Source organism: Homo sapiens, chromosome 19 (assembly GCF_000001405.40).
Source record: "Homo sapiens chromosome 19, GRCh38.p14 Primary Assembly".
NCBI classification, from domain to species: domain Eukaryota; kingdom Metazoa; phylum Chordata; class Mammalia; order Primates; family Hominidae; genus Homo; species Homo sapiens.
Window position 1 is genome coordinate 23,817,513 of NC_000019.10, and position 19,690 is coordinate 23,837,202.

Below are 19,690 nucleotides of genomic sequence, written 5' to 3' on the forward strand. Positions count from 1 at the left end.
TCTATATTTGTATATTTACATTTAATATAGACTTTTATTTTATATGTGGTTTTGTTAGAGAAAATAGGAGGCAGGAGACACCCAGTAGGTGAAACTGGAGGATTTTATTAAGGTGCACCCTGGCACAATGGATTCGCATCCAAAAAGCTGAGCCTTGGACTAAGACAGGGCTTGTCTTTTATACATGCATGGGCCATCTAGTGGCGCAAAGCTCGTGGTGCAAGTAAGCAGGCTCACAGAAGCAGAACAGAGGCAGTTAATCAAACAGTGACAGGTTATGCTGACCTTGCAGCTTCACTGGAAGGGAAACATGAATTTATCAAACTAAAGCAGGCCTTGCAGCTGGTACATGTCTTACTCAAGCTCGTCTTGTAACCTTGTCATGTTATCCAGAACAGAGAAACTGGAGTTGTTGTGAAGTAACCTTGAGTTTCACTAAGGAAGGATTACTAAGGGGAGGAGGAAGCTAGGAGAGGAGGAAAAATTGTTTTTCCCATCATTGCTCTATGGGAGGAGAGGGGATAAGGACTAGTTTTCTTTACATCCTCTACTTCATTTCCCCCTTTGACGCTTTTTATAAATGACGTTTAATAGCATCACTATGACTTAATTTTTCATGAAAAGGCAAGTTTTCTTCATTTGGCAAAGGCTGATATTTAGTTAGGGTCATTAGTTGTGTAGTAGTTTGCCTGGTTACAAGAGCCTCTGTGGCCATTTAGATGTTTTTGACAAGGAGGGGTAAGAGACAAGGGAGTATGAGGCAGACTCCTAATATGGCTAGAACTATTCTTACTAAGGTTTTAAATTCTGCAAGGGATGAGAACTAACCCCTGAAGAGGGAATCTGGAGACCATCCTTTCTAAGTCTTGACTGGAATATGGGCTAATTTTTGGATTCTTGCAGCTTTTTGTTTGACGACCTTTCCGTTGTCATCGATTTTTAGACAGCAATTAGTTAGGCTGAACTTTCTACATACTCCTCCCTCTTGGGCTAGGAGGTAGTCTAAAGCCAGTCTATTTTGATAAACGGCATTTCTCATTTCTGTAGATTTCCGAGCCAGCAAATTTAAGGCTCTTGCAGTATCATTCGTAATGATCTCCAGTACTGCCTGCAACCATATGATGTGATTTAGCATGTAAATAGGGGTGCGGTATCTCCATGATCCATCTGCCCATGTGGCTGGGCCATAGTATTGCATTATTCTTTCAGGTGGCCATTCATTATCTTTAATTCTTTATGGTTATTCCCCTTTTATTTCTTTTGACCTGACATGAACCTCCAACTAGGTTCTAGGTAAGGACTTTGGGTCATAACATATATAAGGCTGGCCACTTCCTGGGTTGCAGATTGAGTAGGTTATCTGGTTGTGTGTACAAGTTCCTCAATGGGTCCCTGCATACCTATAATAAGTGGTAGAACAGGGTTCTAGTCATGGTGCTTCCTGTCTACGTATTGTCAGTGCAGTGGGGGCATCCTTCTAAGGATTCTCCCTTTAACGTGGTTAAAGGGAATAGCAAAAGTAATGAATAACATGTTTATACCTAGCATGGAGAGAAGAGGTCCTTTCCTAGAGGAGGAGGTTGAGCAAAGCAACAGGACAATAGTAAAACAATTAATATTACAAGGAAAGTTTCCAGACGTAAGATTTCTAACCACTTTTACTTTCCTGATGATGCCTCGAGCTTTGGCCGTACATAGACGAGTCAGCTTCTGGGGTGACTAGAACAGGGCTGTTGTTTCCTCAAGCTTCCACCGTGTGTAGACTGGTCAGCTTCTGAAGTGACCAGAGCAGGGCTGTTGTAGTCTTCATTGGCACCTCGGTCCCATCATAGGATCAGCTGGGTTGGATGGCCTGGGTCCTTCTGGCTGGTCCACTTGTCTTGGGCTACCAGTTTCAGCCAACTGTGGTGAATCCAAGGCACGATTCCTGCAACTTTAGCAGCAGTGAGTAGACAAGATTACAATATGGGGCCCATCCCATATGGGTCCCAGTGTTGTTGGATTCCATTTTTTAAACTAAACAGAGTCCCCGGGTCTAAAGGGATAAATTGGGTCTGTGAGGCTTATGGGCATTCTTTCCCATACCCAGCCATGAATTTTTTGCATGGCTATTCTTAAAGCCTGCATCTCTCTCCTTAAGGCTAATTCCTCTAGTTCACAGAGATCACCTTTAAATTGGCCGAACAAGATCTCATAGGTGAATACCCAGTTTGTTTGGTGGGGGTGTACCTCACTTGGAGGAGGACCATGGGCAGGACCTGATCCCACCTTAGATGAGTTTCTTGGCAAAATTTTTTTAGTAGCTGTTTGAGTGTCTGGTTCATGTGTTCCACTTTTTCTGAGCTCTGTGGCCAGTAGGCTATGTGTAACTTCCACTTTATTTTCAATAACTGTGTTAGTTCTTGAACTATCTTGGCTATGAATGCTGGTCCATTGTCTGACGCTAGAGTCAGGGGCAGTCGAAATCCAGGGATAATGTCTCTTAACAGTACTTTAGTTACTTCTCGTGCTTTCTCAGTCCTGATGGGGAAAGCCTTGACCCATCCTGAAAAGGTGCAGACAAGTACTAACATGTTTCAATATCCCCCTGCTTGGGGCAACCCATAAGCAGATTTTCACAAGGTGTGGCCCCTATTTCCTGCATTCCCAGGGTCCTGGTGGGCCCCTGTATTAGGTTGTTCTGGGCACAAGTTAGGCATTGTTCACAAATGGCTCATGTGATGGCAGTGAGCCGTGGCACATAGAAGTGGTGTCCTAATAGCGTCTCTAGTGCCGTTTTTCCCATGTGAGTTCCTTGGTGGAATTGCCTCACAAATTTGGAGGCCACCATTTCAGGGATGGCTAGTCTCACATTAGATAATTTCCACCATCCTCCTTCAATATGTTCTCCAGATTCTTGGGCAAACCAGGCCCTGTCACTTAGAGAGTAACTCCGGGTCTCCTGGAGGGGAGATTGCGGGAGGAGAGGCATGGTCAGGGCTTCTTTTCTAGAGTGTGGAGCAGTCAATGCTGTCTGTCTTGCTTCTCTGTCTGCTTTTCCATTTCCCTTGGCCTCCTGTGTCCCTGACTTCTGGTGTCCTTTATAGTGCATAACAGCTACCTTCTCTGGGGCTCATACAGCATCTAAGAGCTGTATAATTTCTTCTTTGTATTTATTTCTTTGCCCCTGGCAGTTAAAACTCCTCCTTATATATAGCAATGTGGCAAAAGCATATTTGGAATCAGTATAAATATTGATCTTTTTGTCCTTTGCTAGCAAAAGGGCTCTTGTTAGAGCTATCAGCTCTGCTTTTTGGGCTGAAGTTTCTGTGGGCAGAGACTGAGCTTCCACCACCAAGTGCAATGTTACTACTGCATACCCGGCCCATTGGACTCCTTCCAGTACAAAACTGCTTCTATCTGTAAAGTACTCGATATCTGGGTCCCTGAGGGGTTGGTCTGTAAGATCTCTCCAGCTTGAGAATACCTCATCAACTGTGTCTATACAGCAATGAAGAGGGCCTCCTGGTTCTGATTGAATTGGGAGCAAAATAGCTGGGTTTAGAGTGTTCACAGTCTCTAGAGTTACGTGAGGATTTTTACATAGAAGCCCTTGATACCAACTCATTATTGGATTTGATAACCAATGGTGCCCTCTCTGATCGATTAATGTTATAACTCAGTGCGATACTCAGGTGGTTAGTTGCTGTCCTAGAGTTAGTTTGTCAGCTTCCCATGCCAGTAGGGCTGTGGCAGCTAATGCTTTGAAGCATGGGGGCCATCCCAGCGCCATGGAGTCCAACTGCCTGGATAAGTATGCCACCAGGCGATGCCATGATCCCGTGACCTGAGTTAGGACTCCTATAGCCATTCCCTTTCACTCATGGGCCTATAGAAAGAAAGGCTTAGTTAGACCTGGCAGTCCTAAGGCTGGAGCCCTAGTTAAGGCTTCTTTGATTTGTTTAAATGCCTTTTCCTGGTCTGCCTCCCAGAGGAGGGACTTCTTCCCTGCCTCCCCCACTTCTAATGTGACCATGGGCTCCTGGGGGCCTAGGGAGAAGGAACCCGGTTGGTCCTAGTCCTCATATTCTTAATTCTCTGCCAGCCCGATCAGGTCGGCATCTGGCTCCCTCAGGGTGTGGCAGCCCTTGGCTGGGGGCCTCTTTGTTTCATAGCCTTTGCCATTCTCTTCATTGTCCTCTGGACATTCATTTTTCTAGTGTCCCTTCTTTTTGCACTGCACACATTGACCTCCCCTTAGCCTCAGCCATCTCTTGGCTCGCTGTTCAACTTGGCCTCTTCCATGCCCACACCCATGTGAACATTCGCGTCCCTTTACAATGTTAATTTTCCTTTTTGTGAGGGCTGCCGCTAACAGGTTGGCCTTTTTCCTAAGCCTCTGCTCTGTTTCCTTTTTTGCCTCTTGGTCACAGTTAATGTACACCTCGGTGGCCACTTCTATAAGCTGGGTGGCATTCATGCCTGCAAAACCCTCTAGCTTTTGCAGCTTCTCTCTGATGTCACCCTGGGCTTGCCTTACAAATGCTGCATTCACCATGCACTGATTTTCAGCAGCCTCAGGGTCAAATGGAGTGTAAAACTAAAATGCCTCACAGAGTCTCTCATAAAACTGGCTAGGGCTCCCATCAATTCGCTGGAGTACTTCAGAGACCTTCCTTATATTGATTGCCTTTTTTCCACCTTCCCTCAATCATTGCAGCTGTGCTTCTTAGTACCTTTGCAGGCGCTGAAGCTGGGTTGCGTCATTTGGGTCCCAGTTGGGATCTGTTTCTGGGAATTGGCCCTGAGCATATGCCTGGACATTAAGGGTGCCTTCAGGCACACTGGCTTCTAGCCAGCAGAGAGCTGCCTGGGCTATCCTTTGACACTCCTTCGTGTTAAACAGCGTTAGGAGGAGATTCCTGCAATCTGGCCAGGTTGGATTGTGCATTAGGAAGATAGACTGCATTAGATCTATGAGGTCCTGGGGGTTCTCCGTGTAGGAGGGGGTATGATGTTTCCAGTTTAGGAGATTAGTGGTAGAAAAAGGCTGGTAAATAAAAGTCTGTTGCCCCCCTTGGACCTGGCCCTGTTCATCATAATAAATAGGTCCCTGTGTTTTCTGGAGGGGCATCTGCAAAGCTCTGGTGTGGGTAAATTGAAGGTGGCCTGCTTGATCATCTTGACTTCCTTCTTCACCTCCTGGGACAGGGGCTCAGATTTGCCCCTTTAGGGTGTAGCCTGGGGCATGATACCATCTGAGTTGGGCTGCTCAGTGGCCAGCCTTGGTAAAGGTGGGTAGATTGGTGCATAGGGAGGAGGGGTTTCTATCTCCTCCGGTGGTTCCTCCAAAACTGGTTTCTCCTGTCTTTCCTGTGGCTTTCCCTTTGTCTCTGTAGCTTCCAGCAAAGCTGATTTTTTTTTGGTGGCTTAGGCTCAGCTTGAGCAAAAAGCTGCCAGGCAAGTCTGCAACCATGCAGGTGGAGTCTGTACTATATTTAACCATGAGTCAATACAAGGGAACTGGTCTAGGTGCCCTGACTGTCCTCTGACCCCAGTTACCACCTTAAATACATAGCCAATTGTTTCCTTATCTACATTTCCTTCAGCTGGCCATCTAACATCAAAAGAGGGCCATTGTATTTCACAGAGAGTTCTCAGCCTCTGGGGGTCAACTTAATTCCATAGTCCCCGAATAACCTTTCTTAAAGTTCCTTAACATACATGCTAATCGGGTGGGTTTTGGTGACTTCCCTCCCATTTCCTCCCCAATACAGCACAACACATTCATTCTTCCTTTTGATTCAGACCAATTAAACCATCCCCCTTGCAGGAGTTTTCAGACACTGCTTAGCTTTGGAGTTTGTTAATCCCCTCACAATTACTAAATTGTGGGGCACCTCCATAAGCCGTATGTGGATTGCCACTAGTCCCGGTTGGTCCCACAATTCTCTCAGAGCGCACAGTCTATACTAAGAGAGCTGTAGCCCCCACATGTCACTGTCTGCATTGGTTCCTCCCAAAACCATCTCTTTCACACACAGTCACACACCGTCCTACTCCCAGTTTTCTCTCCTAACTGACTTCGCGAGCCACTCTTATGCCCTAGTCACTTGGGGTGTAAGTTTCCCTGAGTTTGCAAACCATTCTTGCATCCTGTGTCAGTCTACTAGTTACACCTTGGAAGGTGATCAGGCTCCCCTTCCATCCTTATGGGACGGTTCCTGCCTTGGGCCCCAAAACCTTACCGTGGTCCTGTAGTGCACTGTTCCTGGAATCATCCTGTAGCCCCTTAGATTCTGTTGTGCTGTCTGGGAGGGGCACTGGGTTGTGGGATAGCTGATCCCTTCTTCAGGTTTAAGTTCTCCTGATGGCACCTGAGGTCATGGGTCTCTCCTGGCTTGGGGTCTCACACCTAAAGGCAAAGTAGACAGCAAACCTGTCATCTCCATCTCCTGGCTGGCTCACCAAAGTGTTGCAGAAAACAGGAGGCAGGAGAGGCCAGTGGGTGAAACTAGAGGATTTTATTAAGGTGCACACTGGCTCAGTGGATTCACACACAAAAAGCTGAGCCCTGGACAAGTACAGGGCTTGTCTTTTATATGTGCATGGTGGCCATCTAGTGGCACAAGGCTCCTGGTGCAAGCAAGCAGGCTCACAGAAGCAGAACAAAGGCAGTTAATTAAACAGTGACAGGTTATGCTGACCTTGCAGCTGCATTGGGAGGAAAACAGGAAGTTAACAAACTAAAGCTGACCTTGCAGCTGCATTGGGAGGAAAACAGGAAGTTAACAAACTAAAGCAGGCCTTGCAGCTGGTATACGTCTTACTCAAGCTCGTCTTGTGACCTTGTCATGTTGCCCAGAACAGAGAAACTGGAGTTGTTGTGAAGTAACCTTGAGTTTCACTAAGGAAAAATTACTAAAGAGACAGGGAAGCTGGGAGAGGAGGAAAACTTGTTTTTCACATCCTTGCTCTTTGGGAGAAGAGGGGCTAAGGACTAGTTTTCTCTACATCCTCTACTTCAGTTTTATGATGGTGTTCATTATTATTTTATTTTTAAGCAAAATTGACTCATTATAGCATTTCTTTTTTTTTTTTTTTTTTTGCAGAGTCTCAGAATGCTCTTAAACTCTTAGTCTCTAGTGTTCTGACAGCCTTGACCTCCTAAAACTAAGATTACAGGCATGAGCCATGGTGCCTGGTCACCATGTACCTTTTTTTGTAGAACTGTGCTAGTGGTGATGAACATCTTCACCTTTTATTTTGGAAATTCTTTATTTTCATCTTCTTTTTAAAGGGAAGTAAATTTAAATCAAGTATTATTGGTTAGAAATTTTTTTTTATTACATCAAAATTTGGGAAGTTTTCACCCTTTTTTATCTTCAAATAACCTCTGTATTTTTTTTCTTCATTTTCTTCTTCTAAGATTTCCTAAATCTAGTTGATGGTTATCTAATAAGTTGTTTGTTTTGTTTTGTTTTTGTTTTTGTTTTTGTTTTTTTTGAGATGGAGTCTCGCTCTGTTTCCCAGGCTGGAGTGCAGTGGCACAATCTCAGCTCATGGCAAACTCTGTCTCCTGGGTTCATGCCATTCTCTTGCCTCAGCATCCTGAGTAGCTGGGAGTACAGGTGCCCGCCACCACGCCCAGCTATTTTTTTATATTTTTGTAGAGACTGGGTTTCACCATGTTAGCCAGGATGGGCTTGATCTCCTGACCTCATGATCTGCCTGCCTTGGCCTCCCAAGGTATCTAATAAGTTTTACATTCCATGTTTTAACTTTGTTTTGCAATTATAGATTTTTGTGTTATATATTTTAGGGTATGCCACCACACATTCATTAATTGTGTTTTGATTTTTTAGTATTTATTATAATTATGCATGCTAATTTTTAACATCTTATAATTTAAGGCAGTGTGGAAGAAAGTCAAATATGAATGAGCTATACGTCTTTTTCCAATAGAATTATCTCTGTGTTTGTTTTCCTGTATACAAAAATAAATGTTATCCTTGTATTTTTTTTCTAACTTGTATATTTGTTGTGTAGGTTTGTTGTGAATGGTTTTCTAATTCTGCGTAGATGAGTCATCATAAAATACTCTTTTTTTTTGAGATGGACTCTTGCTCTTCTTGCCCAGGCTGGAGTGTAATGGCGCGATCTCAGCTCACTGCAACTTCTGCCTCCTGGGTTGAAATGATTCTAGTGCCTCAGCCTCCTATGTAGCTGAGATTACAGGCATGTGCCAACATGCCTGGCTAATATTTTTGTATTTTTAGTAGAGACAGGGTTTCTCCATGTTGGTCAGGCTGGTCTTGAACTCCCAACCTCAGGTGATCTGCCCGCCTCAGCTTCCCAATGTACTGAGATTACAGGTGTGAGCCACCATGCTCAGCCCATAAAATTTTTATAATTTCAACAACCTATTTATTTGTAAATCTATATGATTTCTGTGTGGGAGAAACACTTTTGGATTTGAATATAATTTAAAACTATCATAACTCTGTATCTCTTTTAGTTATTATTGTTTATTTCTTGTCAAAAAAAAACAAAATTTACCACAAAATATTTTTAAATATTTAGTCATATCAATTATCTTGACATTGTCATGCAACATATTGCTAGAATGTTTTTATCTTGCAAAGCTAAATCTTAACACATATTAAACAACAAGTACTAATTTTTAATTTTTTCTTTTTTTCTTTTTTCTTTTTTTTTTTGAGCTGGAGTCTTACTCTGCTACTCAGGCTGGAGTGCTGTGGCATGATTCACCTCACTGCAACTTCCACCTCCCGGGTTCAAGCAATTCTCACGCCTCAGCCTCCTGAATAGCTGGAATTACAGGTGCCCATCACCATGCCTGGCTAATTTTTGCATTTTTAGTAAAGATGCAGTTTCACCATGTTGGCCAGCGTGGTTTCAAACTCCTGACCTTAGGTAATCTATCTGCCTCAGCCTTTCAAAGTGCTGGGATTACAGGTATGGGCCACCATGCCTGGCCACAATTTTTTCTGTTTTATAGCGTTTTGCAAACACCACTCTGTTTTTTGTTTTTAACAGTATAACTACTTCATGTATGTCATAAAATCTGTGTCTTTTTGTGATTGGCTCATTTCATTTTGCATAATGCCATCAAGATTTATATTTATAGTTGGTAGAATATTTCCTGCTTTTGAATACTGAGTATATTCCAGAATATATATATATATTTTTTGAGACAGTCTTGCCCTGTCACCTAGGCTGGAGTGCAGTGGGGCGATCTTGGCTCACTGCAACCTCTGCCTCCTGGGTTCAAGCAATTCTTTTGCCTCAGCCTCCCGAGTAGCTGGGATTACAGGCACGTGCCAACACGTTTGGCTAATTTTTGTATTTTTTTTTTCAGTAAGGACAGGGTTCACCATTGTTGGTCTGGTTGATCTCGAACTCCTTACCTTGTGATCTGCCTGCCTTGGCCTCCCAAAGTGCTGGGATTACAGGTGTGAACCACCGTGCCTGGGAAGAATTTTTATATTTCAAATTATATCTACTGAATGATTTATTGAAAGATATTTGCATTGCTTTTACCTATTTGCTTACAGTAACAATGCTGCAGCTTTTCCGCGCTACCTGCAGAGGGGTCCATACGGCGTTGTTCTGGATTCCCGTCGTAACTTAAAGGGAAACTTTCACAATGTCCGGAGCCCTTGATGTCCTGCAAATGAAGGAGGAGGATGTCCTTAAGTTCCTTGCAGCAGGAACCCACTTAGGTGGCACCAATCTTGACTTCCAGATGGAACACTACATCTATAAAAGGAAAAGTGATGGCATCTATATCATAAATCTCAAGAGGACCTGGGAGAAGCTTCTGCTGGCAGCTCGTGCTATTGTTGCCATTGAAAACCCTGCTGATGTCAGTGTTATATCCTCCAGGAATACTGGCCAGAGGGCTGTGCTGAAGTTTGCTGCTGCCACTGGAGCCACTCCAATTGCTGGCCGCTTCACTCCTGGAACCTTCACTAACCAGATCCAGGCAGCCTTCTGGGAGCCACGGCTTCTTGTGGTTACTGACCCCAGGGCTGACCACCAGCCTCTCACGGAGGCATCTTATGTTAACCTACCTACCATTGCGCTGTGTAACACAGATTCTCCTCTGCGCTATGTGGACATTGCCATCCCATGCAACAACAAGGGAGCTCACTCAGTGGGTTTGATGTGGTGGATGCTGGCTCGGGAAGTTCTGCGCATGCGTGGCACCATTTCCCGTGAACACCCATGGGAGGTCATGCCTGATCTGTACTTCTACAGAGATCCTGAAGAGATTGAAAAAGAAGAGCAGGCTGCTGCTGAGAAGGCAGTGACCAAGGAGGAATTTCAGGGTGAATGGACTGCTCCCTCTCCTGAGTTCACTGCTACTCAGCCTGAGGTTGCAGACTGGTCTGAAGGTGTACAGGTGCCCTCTGTGCCTATTCAGCAATTCCCTACTGAAGACTGGAGCGCTCAGCCTGCCACGGAAGACTGGTCTGCAGCTCCCACTGCTCAGGCCACTGAATGGGTAGGAGCAACCACTGACTGGTCTTAAGCTGTTCTTGCATAGGCTCTTAAGCAGCATGGAAAAATGGTTGATGGAAAATAAACATCAGTTTCTAAAAAAAAAAAAAAAAAAAATGCTGCAATAATTATGAGTCTATAAATGACTACTTATATGACCATATATGTGAAAGTTTATATATGTGCTGCATTCTATTTTATTAGTCTACTTTTTCACCTTTATACTCATATCAAATTGTTTAATTTGGTAGCTTTGTAATGTGTTTTGAATCAGGCACTTTAATGCCTGCAGCATTCTTTCTTTCTTTTTTTTTTTTTAATATTGTTGGGTAGTTTGTTTTTCTTTTGAGTCTCTGTATACTTTTGAGGTTGGTGTTTCTATTTCTTCAAAAATGCAATGAGAAATTTGAAAAATATTGCATTAAATCTGTAGATTGCATTGAGCAGGATGGACTCTGCAATATTAAGTATTTCAACCTTTGTGTAAGAGCACACTCAAGAGTGTGTTGTTTAGTTTCTATATATTTGTAAATTTTTCAGTTTTTTTTTTTTGCTTTTATCGTTGTATATTCTCATTCCATTTTGGTCATAGAATGTAGTTCATAGAAATTTACTTTTAAAAAATTTGATAAGACTTCCTTTTTGTCCTAAGATGTGGTCTTTCAAGGGAAATGTTGTATGAGCTATTGAGAAGGGTGTGTATTCTGATGTTGTTGAGGAGTGTTCTCCATAACTCTGTTTGGAATAATTGTTTTATACTGCCTTTAAGTAGTCTGTTCTTTTATTAACATTCTTTCTTGTTTTAGTTTTATTACAAAAAGTGTGGTATTAAAATATATTGTTCTAATTATATTGCTTTCTGTGTGTTTCTTCCATTCTGTCAATATTTGCTTTATATACTTGGAACCCTAATGTGAGACACACACACACACACACACACACACACACACAAATTTGTCATAGATTCCCTGTGAATGAATCTATTATTTTTTGATGTCCTTCTTTGTTTCTTTGGAGTTTCAATTTCAAGCACATTTTATAAAATATTATACTTTCTGACTTAAGATGTAGCTTGTGTGATATTATTTTGACTCTTTCTGCTCTTATTTGATTAATGTTTGCATGGAATGTCTACTTCCATCCTGCCACTTACAGTCTTTTTTAATTATTAGACTTACTGTTATTTTATTATGCATTTTATTTGATTATTGCATCTTTGTGTCTTATTCTCTTTCCATCTTTGTGTCTTTTTGATGTTTGCATTGATATGCTTTCGCTTATTTATTTATTTATTTGTTTGAGACTGAGTTTTACTCTTGTTGTCCATGCTGGAGTGCAATGGCATTGATCTTGGCTCACCGCAATCTCCGCCTCCTGGGTTCAAGCAATTTACCTGCCTCAACCTCCTGAGTAGCTGAGATTACAGGCAGGTGCCACCATGCCTGGCTAATTTTGTATTTTTAGTAGATATGAGGTTTCTCCATGTTGGTCAGGCTAGTCTTGAACTCCTGACTTCAGGTGATCCACCCGCCTCGGCCTCCCAAAGTGCTGGAATTACAGGCATAAGCCACCATGCCCAACCTCTTTTGTGTATTTATACAAATATTTTTGTGGTACCTTGGGGACTACATATAATGTCTAAAAGATACAACAATACATTTTAATCTGGTAGAAAAACAGGTTGCATACAAAAATTCTTCTTTATTACATCTTCCCTCAAATTTGTCATTGATGTTGCTAATTATATCTTATGTTGTATGTTCATTAACTGATGTTTATAATGATTTCTATTCTTTTATTGTTCAAATTTCAGAGAATAATTAAAAATGTTTTCTGCGTCACTAGGATAATGCTAATAAATTCTACAAAGTGAATTTGCATATTTTTTCTAGAAAATAATGTATTTTTATATAATTATGTGTAGCTTTTTGAATCATGTTATTTTCAGTAAAAGGAACTGTTGTTAGCACCTTTTATATGTAGGGCATATGCAGTTCCAATATACTTTTTTAGAATTTCATTACTTTGGAAGGTTTTTTTTTTTTATTTGGCAGGATAGATTCACTGATGGTATAATTCTCACTTAATAGGTATTTTTTTTAACAACTTTTTCATGACTCCATAACATAGTTCTTTTTTTGAGACTAAACGTCTCTCTATCCCCCAGCCAGGCTGGAGCATAGTGGTATGACTTCAACTCACTGCAACCTCCACTTCCCAGGTTCAAGTGGTTCTCCAGCCTCAGCCTCCTGAGTAGCTGGTATTACAGGCATGTGCCACCACACCCAGCTAATTTTTGTCGTTTTGGTAGAGACAGGGTTTCACCATCTTGTCCAGGCTGGCCTTGAACTCCTGACCTCAGGTGATCCGTCCACCTCTGCCTCCCAAAGTGCCTGGATTACAGGCAGGAGCCACCATGCCTGGCCTGGCACATCACTTTTATCTTGCAGCTTCAAAGATAATCTTTTTGTCTTTGACTAGAAATTGTGGTTATATACATGTTTGTTATAAATATCTTTCTGTGATACTAGTTTGTTGTACTTCTTTATTTTTACATCATATTTTCTTTTAGGATCTATTAGTTTTTTTTAAATTTTTTTACCTCCACAATTTTTGTTTTTTTGAAATCTTAAATATTTTTGTTCTTGTCCTCATTTTTCTGAATTTCCATAGTTGTCTCTGTTCCTATTTTAATCAATGAGAACTATTCAATTTATTACCAATTATTAAAAGTAATTTATACCTCTGATTTTTTTTATGCTTTCTTTCAGAAAAATTTATAATATTTTTGCTGGGATCATATTGCCCTATTTTGTATATTTTATCTTTGATTGTGATTTGGACATTAAAAAAAGCTACCTGTCAAAATCTTTATAATGTTGTTCTGTCCTGGCATAGTCTGAAAACAATTGTTTTGGCTGGTGATTATGGGAGTTTCTCACACATATTCTTAGGATATGTGCTGTCTGAAATTTTGTGTTTAATTTTTAATTAACAGAGTTTACTCTTGTTATTTTGTAGGAGTCAGAAATCACTTGCTACACCTGTTCCTTTTCTGTGGTACTGCTGTCAGTCTGCTGCTCTACCACTTTTTTTTTTGGTCTCAGCTGACTCAAACTCTCATTTCAAAATATGCCACCATTTCTTTCAGCACTTTATGTCATGAGAGACTGAAACAAGTGTCAGAAAAGGTCCCTAAAAGTCAGAAATAACAACGAATGTGCCAGTATTTTAGCTTTCTTTTAAAACAGAAACCAAGAGTTAGGAATTTACTTCTGAAGGTACTACGTTATAGTGGAAAGCAGGAAAAGCTGTGTTGGGTGAATTTAACACTTCCTTTTTTTCTTTGTGCTCACCTGGAACACTGCACACACTTATTTATAAATTTTTTACAGATGTATTTGGGTCTGTATATTTTAGTTACATTTATATATCTATAAATGAATTAGAGCCTGTGGTATTTTGCAATGCCCTCTTGTTTATGTATTTGGTATAATTTTAAAGGTAAGATTTTAAAACTATATCCATGTGAGTCTAGTAGGTGGAGTAATTTATTATTTTTATTTTTATTTTTTTAGGTATATGCCCTCATTTTGCTTAAGACCTCTGGCCAGAGCAGGGCATGGAAGATTCCTTTTAAAAAGTAATACTGAGAAGACATGAAAAATGTGGACATGATAATTTACTGTTGAGAAATGGCTGTAAAAGTGTGGATGAGTGTCAGGTGCACAAAGAAGGTTATAATGGACTTAACAAGTGTTTCACAACTACTCAGAGCAAAGTATTTCAATGTGGTAAATGTTTGAAAGTCCTTTATAAATTTTTAAATTCAAACAAAAAATAAGATATACTGGAAGAAAACCTTTCAAATGTCAAAAATGTGTCAAATCATTTTGCATGCTTTCACACAAAACCCAACATAAAAGCATTTATACTAGAGAGAAGTCCTACAAATGTAAAAAATGTGGAAAAACCTTTAATTGGTCCTCAATCCTTACTAATAATAAGAAAATTCATACTGAACAGAAACCTTACAAATGTGAAGAATGTGGCAAAGCTTTTAAGCAACACTCAACCCTTACTACACATAAAATAATTTGTGCTGAAGAAAAACTTTACAGATGTGAAGAATGTGGCAAAGCATTTTGCCAGCCCTCAACCCTAACTAGATATAAGAGGATGCACAGAAGAAAGAAACTCTACAAATGTGAAGAATGTGGCAAAGCGTTTACCCAGTTCTCAACCCTTACGAAACATAAGAGAATTCATACTAGAGGGAAACATTACAAGTGTGAAGAAAGTGGCAAAGCATTTATCTGGTCCTCAGGCCTTACTGAACATAGGAGAGTCCATACTAGACAGAAACCCTACAAATGTGAAGAATGTGGCAAAGCATTAATTCAATTCTCAACCCTAACTAGACATAAGAGGATACACACTGGAGAGAAACCCAACAAATCTATGTGGCAAACCTTTTAGCCAAAACTCAAACCTTACTATATATAAGATAATTCATACTGAAAAGAAACCCTACAAATGTCAAGAATGTGGCAATGCTTTTAGCCAGTCCCCATACCTTACTACACATAAGGTAATTCATACTGGGAGAGACCCTACAAATGTGAAGAAGGTGGCAAAGCATTTCTATGGTTCATTACCCTAACTGGTCATAAGAGGATGCACACTGGAGAGAAACCCTACAAATGTGAAGAATATGAAAAAGCTTTTAGCCAGTCATCAATCCTTACTCGACATAAGATAATTCATACTGGAGAGAAACCCTACAAATGTGAAGAATGTGGCAAAGCTTTCAGCCAGTCCTCAACCCTTACTACACATAAGAGAATTCATACTGGAGAGAAACCCTACAAATGTGAGGAACGTGGCAAATCTTTTAACCTGTCTTCAAGCTTTACTAAACATAAGGTAATTCACAGTGGAGTAAAACCCTACAAGTGTGAAGAATGTGGCAAAGCCTTTAGGCAGTCTTCAATTTTTGCTAACCATAAGAGAATTCATACTGGAAAGAAACCCTACAAGTGTGAAGAATGTGGCAAATCTTTTAACCTGTCTTCAAGCTTTACTAAACATAAGGTAATTCTTACTGGTTTAAAACCCTACAAATGGGAAGAATGTGCCAATGCCTTTTCCTGGTCCTCAGCCCTAACTAAACATAAGAAAATTTATACTTGAAAGCAACCCTACAAATGGGAAAAATTTGGCAAACCTTTAATCCTTACAACTTAATGCACATAAGATAACTTATATTGAAGAGAAATATTACAAGTGTGAATAATGTGTCAAAGCCTATAAAAAGTCCTCAATTCTTTACAGACATAAGGTTATTTATACTGGAGAGAAACTTTGCAAACCTGAAAGATGTGCCAATGCTTTTGACAACAACTTAAGCTTTTCTAAACATAAAGAAAATCATGCTGCTGAGAATCCTAGAAGTGTGAAGAATGTGACAAAGCCTTTAAATGATTGTCACACTTGATTGTAGGTAAGGTAATTCATACTGGAGATAACTATCAGTGTGTACAATGTGGCCAAGCTTCTAACTAATGCTCACACGTTATTGCACAGGAAAGCATTTATAAGCATTTATACTTGAGAACAAATGTGCAAATATAAAGTAAAAAAGCCATTAATACCTGCTCACATCTTACTCAAAATCAGATAGTTCATATGAAATAAAAGCATAAAAGTGTAATTACTGTCCAAAGATCTATTAGAAAATATGTCTTTAAAGTGCAGAAGAGTATTTACTTTAAAAAAGCACTACAAATATAAATAGGGTTGTAATACCTTTACTTGTATCAGAAATCTTATTGTACACATTTTGTGCTAGAGGAAAACCCTGAGGCAGTTGTTAAAATTTTGTCCAACATCAGTGAGTTTATATTGAAGAAAACCCTGCAAATATAATAAATTTGGAAAAACATTTTTTCAAAAACTACAAATTATAAAACACCAAAGAGTTTATACTAAAATATATTTTTGCAGGTGCAGTAAAGATGAAAGATATTTAATCCAAAATTGTCTATGTAAATATCAGAATAATCCACAGTAGAAATATCTAGGGCCACTCAATGTTTAGACACTACTGTAAATCAGAGTGCTGCGTATAAAAAATAATACAAAACTATAGATAGCATAAACATTATTTGTATATAACTTTAAAAGAAGTAGAATATTTTTTGGAGAGTTATAATTACATTCAAATTATACTTTTTATGAACATACAGGTTTTTTTCGAAGTGAATAATAATGAAGTTAAACTCTTAAATTACTTCATGCTCTTCCATATTCCTGGTTTATTCAAATGTGAAAGCATGTGACTAATTGTTGCTGGACAAAATATATGAGAGATTCTTGTTTATTAGGTAAGCATTACTTATGACCTTTTCTATGGAAAGGTAAGGACATTAAAATGTAAGATGCATAATGAAAATTTAAGTAGAGAGGCTCTTTGTGGTTAACTTATAATATTTTGTGATACATGAGGTAGGTGTTCAGAGTAATACTCTTCTACATTATTATGAAAGAAAAATATTCTTAATTTTAGTTAAAATTAGGTTAGTAATGTTATTTTATTAATTGCACTTTTATGGAATACTATACAGCATATTTTTAAATTATAAATTATTTGTGAAATTAACTTTTCAATTCCACATTTTTAACATGTTAAATACTATCATGAATCCATTGAAATGTTATTGTGCCACTAACTTTAACCTATTCCATCTTACACAAGGGTGTAGGTAACAATACATTATTTGGTAAGATAATGGACTGACATCACTAGTAATCTTTATTGCCAGTAACTTTAAATGGCCAATAAGTTAAAAAATATTGTTCCTATAGGTTATATTTTTATTCTTATTTTCACATTTAAATGTATTTTTCTTAATTTCTGTGGATATATGTTTATATGTTTATGCCATATATGGCATATTTTAATACAGGAATACAAAATATGATAATCACATTAGAGGAAATGAGATGTCCATTACCTCTAGCATTTATTCTTTGTATTACAAGCAATTCAATTCTACAGTTTAAGTTATTTTTAATGTACAATTAAATTGTTATTGACTACAGGGTCATTTTTATCATCATAATACAAATTATATACAAACATGTAAAATCCATACATTTCTGAGTCCTTAATAAATATTTTTATAAATTTTAATATATTTTTCTTTGAACATGTGGCCTTTGCCTGCAAGCACATATGGACTGTTAGTATTGATTTACATAGAGTTAAATATTCACATCTATTAGTCTAAAGATAAACTTTAGGTCTAAATAAATTATGGAGTAAGTCTGTTTGTGTGAGTATAAATTTGAAACTATTTTTAGCAGAAAAAAATATTAGAACAAAATAAATCATTTTAATCAGGGGCCTAATTCACTAGAAAACAAAAATTCTCAAAAATGGTGAAAGCAAATCTATGCTCTCTGCTTTGTATTGAATTTATTACCGTGCAATCTTTTGGCTCAGGGTTCAGAATCTCCCCATGCAAATTCTCTGTTTTAATTTGACTGGTACTCATGCTAGTCCCGTAATATTCTTTTTTTGTTTGTTTAATAGTTTTTTTTTTTGTTGTTGTTGTTCTTGTTTTTTTCTTTTGAGATAGAGTCTTGCTCTGTCTCCCAGGCTGGAGTGCAATGGTGAGATCTTGGCTCACTGTAGCCTCTGCCTCTCAGGTTCAAGCAGTTCTGCCTCAGCCTCCCAAGTAGCTGGGATTACATGTGCCCGCCACCATGCCCAGCTAATTTTTGTATTTTCACTACAGACAGTGTTTCACCAGGTTGGTCACGCTGGTCTCAAACTCCTGACCTCAGGTGATCCATCCACCTCAGCCTCCCAGAGTGCTGGGATTACAGGTGTGAGCCACTGCACCCAGCCTGTGTAATAGTTTATGAAGTATTCATTATGTGAACTGGTCTGTAATTATAAGAATATATATTTTTTTAATTTTATTGTTCCATAAGTTATTGGGGTATAGGTGGTATTTGGTTAGATAAGTAAGTTCTTTAGTGGTGATTTGTGAGATCTTGGTGCACCCATCACCCAAGCAGTATACACTGCATCATATATGTTGTCTTTTATTCCTCTCCCTTCCCACTCTTCTCCCCATGTCCCCAAAGTCCATTGTATTATTCTTATACCTTTCCATTCTCATAGCTTACCTCCCACATATCAGTGAGAACATATGATGGTTGGTTTTCCATTCCTGAGTTACTTCACGTAGAATAATAGTCTCCAGTCTCATCCAGGTTATTGCAAATGCTTTTAATTAATTACTTGTTATGGCTGAGTAGTATTCCAACACACACACACACAGACACACACACACACACACCCCACAGTTTCTTTATCCACTCGTTGATTGATGGGCATTTTGGTTGGTTCCAGAATTTTGCAATTGTGAATTGTGCTGCTAGAAATATGCATGTGCAAGTATCTCTTTCAAATAATGACTTATTTTTCTCTGGGTAGATACCCAGTAGTGGGATTGCTGGATCAAATGATAATTCTGCTTTTAGTTCTTTAAGGAATTTCCACAGTTTCCTATAGTGACTGTACTGGTTGACATTCCCACCGGCAGTGTGGAAGTGTTCTTTGATTGCTGCATCCATGCCAACATCTACAGTTTTTTGATCTTTTGATTACGGCCATTCCTGCAGGAATAGAGTGGTATCGCATTGTGGTTTGATTTGCATTTCCCTGATCATTAGTGATGTTGAGCATTTTTTTTAATATGTTTGTTGGCCATTTGTGTATCTTTTGAGATTTTTCTATTTTTTGATTTTTTTCTTACTGATTTGAGTTCATTACAGATTCTGTATATTAGTCCTTTGTCAGATGTATAGATTGTAAAGATTTTCTCCCACTCTCTGAGTTATCTGTCTATTCTGCTGACTGTTCCTTTTGCCATGCCAAAGCTTTTTAGTTTAATTAGGTCCCAGCTGTTTATCTTTGTTTTTACTGCATTTGCTTTTAGGTTTTTGGTCATGAAATTTTGGCCAACCAATGCCTAGAAGAGTTTTTTCAATGTTAGCTTCCAGAGTTTTTATAGTTTCAGGTCTTAGGTTTAAGTCCTTAATCCATCTTGTGTTGATTTTTTTTTAATAAGATGGGACATGAGGATCCAGTTTTATTCTCCCACATGTG

The 19,690-nt window shown here is 39.2% G+C and overlaps 1 protein-coding gene, 1 long non-coding RNA gene and 1 pseudogene across 15 annotated transcripts in view; 2 read left to right on the top strand and 1 right to left on the bottom strand.

Annotated features, from left to right (window-relative positions):
- Positions 1-19,690, top strand: part of RPSA2 (ribosomal protein SA 2) — a 112,693-nt gene that overhangs the window by 59,017 nt on the left and 33,986 nt on the right. For 5 of the 14 annotated variants that reach the window (NR_149351.3, NR_149350.3, NR_170710.1 and 2 more), the window contains one exon: positions 14,085-17,701. The exons of 1 other annotated variant lie outside the window; for it this stretch is intronic. Coding sequence is in view for 4 of the 13 variants with exons in the window: in NM_001355287.3 (NP_001342216.1) it covers positions 9,650-10,537 (888 nt within the window). In the remaining 9 variants the exon portion in view is untranslated. Of the gene's footprint in view, positions 1-8,702; positions 8,824-9,557; positions 11,357-14,084; positions 17,702-19,690 lie in introns of those variants that run through there. 8 more of the 14 variants (NM_001355287.3, NM_001355283.3, NM_001387845.1 and 5 more) reach the window with 4 other exon arrangements.
- LOC124904677 (uncharacterized) lies at positions 85-6,552 on the bottom strand. The gene is made up of 2 exons (XR_007067209.1): positions 6,228-6,552; positions 85-1,933 (listed from the first exon to the last, which is right to left on the bottom strand). It is a non-coding gene; the product is annotated as an uncharacterized LOC124904677 (long non-coding RNA).
- ZNF726P1 (zinc finger protein 726 pseudogene 1) lies at positions 14,083-14,832 on the top strand (annotated as a pseudogene).